The following is a 10540-nucleotide window of genomic DNA, read 5'->3' as shown; positions in this document are numbered from 1 at the left end:
AAGCACCTGTTTACATGACATTTACATTGCATTAGGTATTATAAGTGATCTCGAGCTGATTGAAAGTATATGGAGGATGTGTGAAGGTCATATGCAAATAACATGCCATTTTATCTCAGGGACTTGAGCATCCTTGGATCTTGTTATCTGTAAGGGGTCCTGGAACCAATCCCCTATGGATACTCCAAGGGACAACTGTACTTCATTTTCTTATTTGAAAGCGATTAGACTAGTCTAGATGATGTTGTGGGGGGAGAAAATGTAATATCTTTTCTTCACCCATTGCAAGGTTCATGGCTGAGGCATCTATTGAAAAAAGAGAAAGATTAACAAGAGAAAAAACATTCGGATTCATTTAATATACGTTTTATGTGACATGGGAGTCTTCATAAGGAAATGGAGACCCAAAGACACAGGGAAACCTGTGTATTTTTATGCATAGGTTTGATGAAGAGTGGACAATCATGGAGAAGTGTGATTGAATAAAGGGGTGTGACCTTGAATAAAGGCAATACGCTGGGGGAATTTTGGAAGGCTTGTTTGTTCAGAGTCTTTTCTGTATCCCTGTGTCTTCAGAAGTAAGGATGTTCTTTTTCTCTGTGTATTGGGAGGTCCACCTCTTGGATGAGAGAAAGGTCAGAGAATTCTTTTATGGCCTGCTTTAGGGGAGAAGGACAGGAGAAGGTCTAAGAGCAACCCTCCTGCTTCTGCTGTTTCCTCAATGCCATCATACCATATTTTGGAGTAAGGTGTCCTGAACCCCATCAATGTCATTTATACAAAAATAATTATGAGATGCCTATTCGGCTCACGCCTATAATCCCAGTACTTTGGGAGGCCGAGGTGGGCGGATCACAAGGTCAGGAGATTGAGACCATCCTGGCTAACACGGTGAAACCCTGTCTCTACTAAAAATACAAAAATTAGCCAGGCATGGTGACAGATGCCTGTAGCCCCAGCTACTCGGGAGGCTGAAGCAGGAGAATGGCGTGAACCCGGGAGGCGGAGCTTGCAGTGAGCCGATATCGCGCCAATGCACTCCAGCCTGGGCGACAGAGTGAAGACTCCATCTCAAAAAAAAAAAAAAAAAAAAAAAAAGGCAGAGATGCCTATTCTGTGGTAGGTCTTCGGTTGCAAAGATGGGCAATACTGGAGTTCACCAGGAGAAGGGGAACTAAGTGCTGTTACAGAGGTACACGCAGCATGCAGGGAGGAATGCAGACTGGAGCTCTGAGGTCAGCTTCCGCAGAGGACTGGCATTTAAGGTGCATCTCAAAGGTCTTGAAGGATAAAGAAGTCAGCCAGGTTAGTGGAGGGCATCCCAACACAGCGAATTCCGTGAGAAAGGATAAGAGGCAGGAGACACCACTGAAAACAATGGCGGAATGAATTGAAGGGTGGGAGTGATATTCCAGGGAAGGCGGCATCCACCGTAGCTGCACTGCCCTGAGTTCCCTGCATCTAGGCTTGCTCAGTCTGACAACAACTCTGTTAGGTAGGTATATACCAGGAGAGACTAAGGGGGACCCAGGGTAGCAGAGGGGGCAGTCGTCCAGAAGGGCTGTCTGAGGAGATGCCATTGTTGCCAGCTTCTTCAGAAGGAGATGCCATTGTTGCCAGCTTCTTCAGAAGGAGATGCCATTGTTGCCACCTTCAGACAGGTGGGAGTTTGTCAGCAGAGAATGAGGGAGCTCTTCCAATGGGAAGGGGTGGCACGTGGAAGGCCAGGCTTGGGGATGGAGCTTGTATTAGTCTGTTCTCATGCTGCTAATAAAGACATACCCGAGACTGGGTAATTTATAAAGAAAAAGAGGTTTAATGGACTCACAGTTCCACATGGCCGGGGAGGCCTCACAATTATGGTGGAAGGCAAAGAAGAAGCATGGCATCAGGCAAGAGAGCTTGTGTGGGGAAATTCTCATTTATAAAACCATCAGATCTCATGAGACTTATTCACTACCACAAGACCGGTATGGGCAAAACCACCCCCATAATTCAATGATCTCCATCTGGTCCCTCCCACAACAGTTGGGAATTATGAGGGCTCCAATTCACGATGAGATTTGGTTGGGGACACAGCCAAAGCATATCAGAACTGAGAGGCACTGAGGGCCTGCTGGAGAGCAGGGAGTGGACCTCACCCTGGCTTCCTGTGGGCACTGCCTCCTCCCTTCCCCACATTGCTGCTTTGTGTTCTCCAGTCCCTCCTTTGTTTCTTTGTATTATTCCTGTGCATGTAATTTCCTGGAGAGGGGAGATGGGGTTTCCAGATCTCAGTAACTCTGCACCTTGCCAGTCCTCGCACACAGAGGCCGGTGCTCAGTCCATGTCCTCTGATGAGCGATGAGGTTAATTACTTGCAGCCCAAACACAGCAGCGCACCTGAAATGTAAATGCAACTAAGAAGACACAAAGGCTCCTTTCTGTTAGTGCAAACACCATTCCTGTATTTCATGATACTGTCAAGGCTGGTGGAGCAAGTTTTGAATCTGTCTTCCCTCGAAGCTCTACCTGCTACATTAAAAACCATCCCAACCCTCCTCAGGGGTAAAATAAATAGAATTACCTTGCTGGAGGAAATCTTACGGATAAGATAGTTCTGCTCACTGAAGTGATGCTACCTCTTTTCTGTGTGCCTGAGTGCAATGCACTCCCTGATTTTTAAAAGAGGCAGTTAGTCAATGTTTTTACAAATGATATACAATATGGAATTTGCCTGGAAAAAAATGCATGCCCTCACCATCCCTTGATATTAAAAGGGTGAGAATTTTGTTATAAGCCCTCTACACGCTGTGTCCTGAAAACCAAAAGGCACACAGTCATGCATTATTCCACATAGAAGTGCCATTTGCTGAATTAATCTGGGATATGGCATCCTCTGAAAGGTGAGTGCCTGATTAGAAATACAATAAGAAGAACAGAAATTTATTTCCCTTTAAAATTATGAAAATGGTCTTATCTAGCCTCCAGGCCATTTATTTGAATTGTAAAGTATTAGCAGACTGTGATGAACCAAAAAGATGATGTAATACTGTTAATAAGTTTTCCTTCAACATTAAAGGTGCATAGAATGCGTTTTTCTTTTTTTAAAAAAACGCCCACACACTTTTGTACAAATTATATCTAGAAAGATAATTAAATGGCAACTGTGAGAGAGATTCTTCTTCTCAAAAGAATCTAGTCACCTTTAATAAAAAATGCTAACTTCTTTTTTTTTTTGAGACAGAGTGTCACTCTGTTGCCCAGCCTGGAGTGCAGTGGCAAGATCTCGGCTCACTGCAACCTCCGCCTCCCAGGTTCAAGTGATTCTCCTGCCTCAGCCTCCCAAGTAGCTGGGACTACAGGTGTATGCCACCACACCCAGCTAAGTTTTGTATTTTTAGTAGAGAAGGGGTTTCACCATATTGGCCAGGCTGGTCTCTAATTCCTGACCTTGTGATCCACCCGCCTCAGCCTCCCAAAGTGCTGGGATTACAGGCGTGAGCCACTGCACCTGGCCAAAAAATGCTCTTAATATATGGCTATATGAGACAAATTGATATGATATTTTATAGCTAAATGGTTTCTGTCTTTTCATCACAAACTTTTTTGTTATTTTTATTATGATCAATGAGAATAAGCACTTAGTCATTAAGGTATATAACAAAATAAAATAAAATTGTTATAAAAGAGGTTTCTAATGAAATGATAAACAGGCTGTAATCTAATGAAATGATAAACGTCTGTAATCCCAGCACATTGGGAGGCCAAGGCTGGTGGATCACCTGAGGTCAGAAGTTCAAGACCAGCCTGATCAACAGGCTGAAACCCCATTTCTACTAAAAATACAAAAATTAGCCAGGTGTGGTGGCGGGTGCCTGTAATTCCAGCTACTCAGGCAGCTAAGGCAGGAGAATCGCTTGAATGCAGGAGGCAGAGGTTGCAGTGAGCTGATATTGCGCCACTGCACTCCAGCCTGGGTAACAGAGTGAGACTCCATTTCAAACAAACAAAGAAAATGATTTAAAAAAAAAAAAAAAGCTCACTTGTAACCTATCTCACTGTGCACATGCAGGGAGAGCTCCAGGCCGGCCCTCAGTCCCAAGTTAGTCCTAAACCTCTGGTCCCCAAGGAAAAGCCCAGCTCCGTCAGTCCCCCTGTGTCTCAGGGAGACTTATTCCCAGGCACAGTGAAATGAGAGGACTCCTGGATCTGTTCATCTAGCAGCAAACAAATATTTAAGTCTCTACTACGTGCCAGGCATTATTTTAGGTCCTTGGAAATTGGCAAGAGCTAAGATACAGGCTCACTCAGCTTTAGGTGTAATGGGAAATAGAAATAAGTAAATATGGTGTGTTAGAAGCTGTTCCAGGGAACCCACCAGGTGCCGGGAGCTCTGAGGAGCAGTCCCTTGCCCAGGGTGTCAGGGCCCAAGGAGGTTTCCAGAGGGAAGTGCAGTCTAAGCTGAGAACTCAAGGATGAGCTGAATTTAGTGAGGCAAGGAGGGCCAGAGAGAGGGTGTTCTAAGCAGAAGGAATAGCGTGAGCAAAGGCCTGGAGATACAGCTTCTTTAGGGAAGGGAAAATTAGCAGACGATCCCTGGCAACTGCCCAAATCCAACCAAATATCCACTCTAAGTGTTTGTAATTTCAGACCCCCTGCTTTCGGTCTCAGGGTAACAAGTTGGTTGCATTAGCTGAAACTCTTTTTAAGAACCATCCAGAAAGTAGTGACAGACATATTTCTGAACAAAATGGGTCAAACTGAGTTGAGTAAACTCTTAGGTTAAATAAATACATTTTTACAGAAACAGAGCTGGTAGCTTCCAAAGCTATGTGTTTCTATCCTACAGTGGTTGCTGCATCTGTTACCAAACACAGGACAGGAGCAGAGATGAGGGAAGGACTAGTGACTAGAGCCAGGAGGAGCAGACAGGAGAGGTGGTGCAAGAGATCAACTGCCCAGGGGTGTGCAAACCATGCTACCTGCCCAAAAGGAGATAGTCAGATTGAGGGCATGAAACCTTCCCAGCCCTGTTATCACAAACCCTTTCAAGTCACCCATTGAGTTACATGAAACAGGTCAGGAGGTTAATACAGTACACAGATTCCCAAACAGTTAATGAAACCACAGTAAAATAATCCAATGACCACAATCAGTTATTACTATAAAATCTGATTTAACATTGGAGAATAATGTCATTGTGTTCATATCTGTTTAAGTGATATATTGATCTTTCTATTCAGCAGGCATTTGTTGAGTACCTACTGTTTGCTGCACATGATTCAGAACATTCAGCATATACAGGGAAATAAAACACAGCCCCTGAGTAAGGCAGAAAGGAGTGAGCAGAAGTCACTATGTGAGAAGCAATGAATAAGGTGAAATCACCATAAAAGCATGGGAAGGAAAAAAAGTCTTTTAGCCATGTTTTCTGTTTTCTTTCTTTCTATTAGCTCATTTCCAGTCTGTTCCTTTCCATCCATCATTTGCCTAAAAATCCTCCCTCATTATCATACAATTAGACCATTTTATGACCTAACAGGCCCTTTGAGATCACATAGCCTTGATGCTTTCAGACTGTTTGGATCCTAGAGTTTTCAGACTGCCTCAAGTTCCTTGGCAGTCCTCATGGGCCATCTGTTGACAAATGCTTGATGGTTCTATAGTCATTGATTCACTCATGTGGCAACAGTACGGGAAGATCTACTTATGCTGGCCACAGCATGCGGTATTGAAGATATGGCAGTGAGCAAAATAATTAAGGAGCGAATGCTCACAGAGGACCCTGCCCACATGGTATCTACAGACTGTGGGGAAGGGCATTGGTAAAATTCATATCACAAATGTAAGCTCACAACTGTGACACCTGCATGACAAAGATCTATACTGAAAAGAGCTATATTGCTGTATCTATTTAATCATGTCAAATAAATACATGATCTGACCCATCAGAAGATTCTGGAAAAACTGCCCTGGGGAGTCGGGGCTGACAGGAGGTCTAAGGATGGGTGTGCATTAGATGGAAGGGGAAGGCAGTCCAGGGGAAGGAAGGTGCATGCAAATGCTCAAGATGGGAGGGATTTGGGTGTTTTTGGAGAAAGAAGGTAGTAGGATAGAGTTCCGAGAGCAAGATGGAGTGTGGAGCAAAATGCAGCTAGTGTGTCCTATGAACCCCATTCTGGATTCCAGTATCTAGAATGGGGTTCTCAGAGCAATGGCAGCCACAGAGCAATGGCAGCCACAGAAGGGGGTTTGAATAGGAAGGAGCACAGGGCTGGTGAAATTAGCATGTTTGCCTTCACAAGCTGTCCCTGGATGCAGAGTGGAGAATGTTCTGGAGGGCACCTCGTGAATGCAGGCCCCCAGAGGCAGTTATGGGAGTGGTTCAGGGAAGACACGAAGTGACTTGGACTCAGGAGCTGGTGGTGGAGGAGCAGCTGGAACAGGCACGAATTGCTGTGTGACTCCCAACACACAGAGCAGGAAGTGCTCCATTTCTTTTTATTCCAAACCAAACCAGATTTGGCTCCAAGTGGCTACTCATCCTTGGGAGCAAGTGACAACTTGGAGCCAGACTTTATTTGACAGTGTGACTCCCCAGCCCTCCCCTATTCCTTGGGTCACTCCGGTGCTTACCCAGTCAGGAATAATTGGGAAGTGATGTCAGAGAATTTTTCCTCTGCTTTCAGGCTATTTTCATGCAGAGAAGATTTAGTATGAACTGTGTCTTCTCCCTGATTCCAAAATGAATTTGGATCTGCATAACCCAAAATACCAGCCATCTGTTCTTGTCTAAAAGTCAAAGCCACACCACCAGGCGCTGACACCTGGAAACATTTATTTGAACTTTTTTTGACCACAAAAAATAGATTGCTTGTAAATCACACCTATCAAAGATTCTAGCTTTTCAGTTGCTATAAAATGTTACAATTGCCACCAAAAGAGGGCATTCTCTTATCTGTTTAAAACAACCCCACACAAGCTACCTGGAAATGTGAATGCAGTCTCTTTTCTGTAGCAGGGGCTGCTGGTCAGCAGTTCACTGAGACATGGGCTTTTTGTCTTGCCCTTCACTGACTATTTAAAAGTGGAAATCTCTGCTACTTGGACCAACTCCCTATGACTTCTAGGGCAAGGGAGCCCACAGTTCTAGAACCCAAAGGCCTGGTTGTCCATGCCACCAGGAGAAGATGAAAGAATACCTTTTTCCATTGGTCCGGCAATTCCTGTAGTGACAGTGCCCACAGACCAGTCTGGGAAGGCTCGGGTGTCCACTCCAGCCCCAGCTTTCTTCTGAATGGCTTCCTACCCAGAGGGCATGTTTGTACCACCTGACCCCACCTCCGTGAGTAAGCTGCTGGGATCGAGAATTCACACCTGCAGGGCTACTACATGTGCAGGTTGTGCTTTGAAGAAGACACTTGGCCTAGAGGGCAGTTGAGGTCTGAAATCCAGGCAGTGTTCAGCTGCCGAAAAGCATGTACTTGCTGGGGGTGCCACAGCCTGGGGAAAGGGCTCCTTTTTGAATTAGTCCACCCAAAGACAAGCCCTTTTAGAATCATCTGCTCTGGAGGGGAATCTCTTCTCCAATTTGCCTGCAGGTGATAGGGAAGTGCTGGGAAGGGAACAGCTGGTCCCTTTAAACGATACGGGGAAGGGAAGTGCTGGGTAGAGGAGGGCGTGGTCCCTGGCTAGGGCTCCACCCCCACCGACGTCGGGGAGGACAGGCATTTCCTGCCCAAATGCCATGCCCCCATCCTGTGCCTATAAAAACCCGGATACCCTAGTAGGCAGACACACAGACAGCTGGATCTCCAGTGCCTGCATGCCGGCAGGCCACCGGTAGAAGCCGAATGATGCAGAGTTTGGCTGAGGCAGAAGCAGAACGATGCAGAGTTTGGCTGAGGCAGTCTGAGGAGAGCCCAGGCTGCTGAGCCGCTGAGTGGCCTGACTCCAGGGAAAAATCTTCCTGCTCCATCCCCTTCTGACTTCCCTCATATGCTGAGAGCTACCTCGACTCAACAAAACCTTGCACTCATTCTCCAAGCCCAGGTGTGATCCGATTCTTCTGGTACTCCAAGGCAAGAACCCGGGATACAGAAAGCTCTCTGTCCTTGCGACAAGGTAGAGGGTCTAATGGAGCTAACATAAGCGCCTATAGACAGCAAACTAAGAAAGCACCCTGTAGCACATGCCCACGGGGCTTCAGGAGCTGTAAACATTCATCTAGACACTGCTGTAGGGTCGGCGCCCCACAGCCTGCCCGCCTGTAGGCTCCCCTAGAGATTTGAGCAGCGGGGCACTGAAGAAGCAAGCCACTCCCCCATCGCACGCCCTGCGAGGGGAACAAGGGAACTTCCCCTTTCACAGGCACTGCAGGTGGTAGCACCGGCCATGGGCACCTGACCCAGAGGGTTGAACAGTTGCTGCAAAGTTCTGTCCGTTACAAATCATCTATACAAAACGAGGAGCAGCCCAGGCAGGCAGAAAATATCAGAGTGAGAACATAAGATGTAGGGAGACTGAGGTTGACCAAGGGACAGGGCACAAGGAATGCTGTAGTGATTGGGTGTGTCAGGTTGCAGCAGCAGTGGTGTAGCTGAATCACACTGGAGATAGAGCCTGAGCCAGATGCAGTGGGGACCTCCTGCTTGGGGGCTGTGACCGCGTTGCCTGCACACCCCTGAGCTGCAGCACCACCAGGCTACTGCCAACTCAAGGCCACTGCATAGGGGTTGCCATTTCCTTTTTCCTCTCCTGTATCTTAATAATAAAAGGTACCACGTGGGACAACCTAAGGCTTTTCTTGGTCCTGGAACCTAAGAGTACAGTAGCCAGCGGAAAGTCTAGGAGCTAAGTGGAGAGAAGCACAGAGTGTTCTGGGAACTTCCACGGTAACGTGACTAGAGGCAGGTCCATGACTAGGGGTGGAGTGGGCTTCCTTTTCCTGTCTTGCTTCCTCAGTTCCAGTGCACAGCTCCTCAATTGCAGCTTCCTGGCTCTACTGCACTTACCAGCCTGTCCTGCCACCAGATCACCCCTCCTGACCGGGACAGACAGTGGGCATGTGGCACCCACAGAGGAGACATGAATCTTTATCAAACTCCTGTTCTAACAGAATTTCTTGTCTAACAAAAATTGCCTTCACAAAACTTACTGCAATCACAATTGTTGTGTTTGTTGATTTACTTTTTGTCACCTCCCCTACGAGGTGATGAGCTTTCAGGGATGGAGGCCTTTTCATTGTGCTCACTGTTGTATTTCTCATGTCCAGAGTGCTCAATGCTTACTTACCGAGTCAAGTTAAACATGCCTTGATACACATCAAAAGGAATATGGCTTTCTGCAGAATAATCACCTTGGTAGACATTTTTCCCTAAACGTTTTAAAACAAGGCTTCTAAAATTGTCTTCAGGAAATTAATTTAGAGTATTCATAAGAAAAAGAAGACTTGATGCTTTATGCATCCAAGAGTAAATGAAACACAGGGCTATATTAATATTTACCAAATCAGCTGAAATCCAACTGCTTAGAGAGATGCTTTTCAGTGGCTGACTCGTGTTTTTAACTACAATGATCCTACTTTTCTGGCCTCTGCATATCTGAGTTTGTTAAAGACAGAAAGCCGATCCCCTGCTTTAAGAGCTAAGGTTCCAATCTTATTCAAATGGTCATATCCATCTGTCCTGATGTAAGAAAACTATATTTACGAATATGCTCATGTTTTCCTTCTTATGAGAAAAAAAATCCCTAGCAATACATAAAATTCATATTATGCTTTTATTCTCACTTTCATCATCAACATTCAGATTTAATTCCATAGACAAGCTTGCCCATACTTGGTGTGTACGTGCTTCAGGTAGCAAAGAGAATCCATCAGCCCTAGGGTCTCAAGTCCTGGCTCCTTCCTCAAGGCACCTATGTGACTCTGACAACGACTTCTGCCCTAGTTCTATGGAAATGTACGTTCCACAGTAAGATTGAGTCACAGCCAACTGAAGACCACCGAGGTCACCTCTCAGCTCAGCCCAGGCTTTGTATGGGCTCCTGTGGGACCCTCACTCAACAAACAGCTGTGGGAACCCCAAAACTGGAGGGGATCCTTGGCTTCCCCCCAAGGAATTAATTAAATGAATTCCAGGTGAGACTACACCTTGCCATTGAACTGAAGGCCTTGGAGCCTTCTGGGGCAACCTGAGACTCTTTTCCCAGCACAAGTTTTGCTGAGTGTCAGAGGAGCTCCATCTGACATGGCACAGAAGCTCTTCTTAGCTCCACAGCACATTTCATGGGATTGCACACACCTGTGAGGCCAGTGTACTGGGGGCTCCCAGAGTGAGGCAGGTTGTGTAGGGCTGGTCCTGGAGAGGCAGTAATCATGCGCCCAGCCTTCCTGCACATTTGCTCTGGCAGGAGCTGCATCTGCACAGTTCTGCACCTTCATGGTCATGGTCACAGGGCCAGCTCCACCACAGGATGCACATGAAGTGCAAAGAACATGGGCCTGAAAATCAGATGCTCTGGGATCTCTGCCCTGAACTCCTGACCTTTGGCCATT

The 10540-nt window shown here is 46.3% G+C and overlaps 3 annotated features.

The window, feature by feature from the left end:
• Positions 7618–7667: a silencer, noted in NCBI's record as "silent region_5190". NCBI's record gives its function as "represses an Ori minimal core promoter by ATAC-STARR-seq in GM12878 lymphoblastoid cells {active_cell/tissue: GM12878}" and the evidence as "EXISTENCE:reporter gene assay evidence [ECO:0000049][PMID:35858748]".
• Positions 8200–8815: an enhancer, noted in NCBI's record as "H3K4me1 hESC enhancer chr13:27359105-27359720 (GRCh37/hg19 assembly coordinates)". NCBI's record gives its function as "activates a minimal SCP1, AML or CMV promoter by ChIP-STARR-seq in naive H9 embryonic stem cells {active_cell/tissue: H9 hESC(naive)}" and the evidence as "EXISTENCE:reporter gene assay evidence [ECO:0000049][PMID:30033119]".
• Positions 8368–8417: an enhancer, noted in NCBI's record as "active region_7494". NCBI's record gives its function as "activates an Ori minimal core promoter by ATAC-STARR-seq in GM12878 lymphoblastoid cells {active_cell/tissue: GM12878}" and the evidence as "EXISTENCE:reporter gene assay evidence [ECO:0000049][PMID:35858748]".

The sequence above is a fragment of the Homo sapiens genome, chromosome 13 (genome assembly GCF_000001405.40).
Source record: "Homo sapiens chromosome 13, GRCh38.p14 Primary Assembly".
Taxonomy (NCBI): Eukaryota; Metazoa; Chordata; class Mammalia; order Primates; family Hominidae; genus Homo; species Homo sapiens.
Note: the sequence above shows the minus strand (reverse complement) of the source record. Positions and strands in the feature narration are given on the sequence as shown.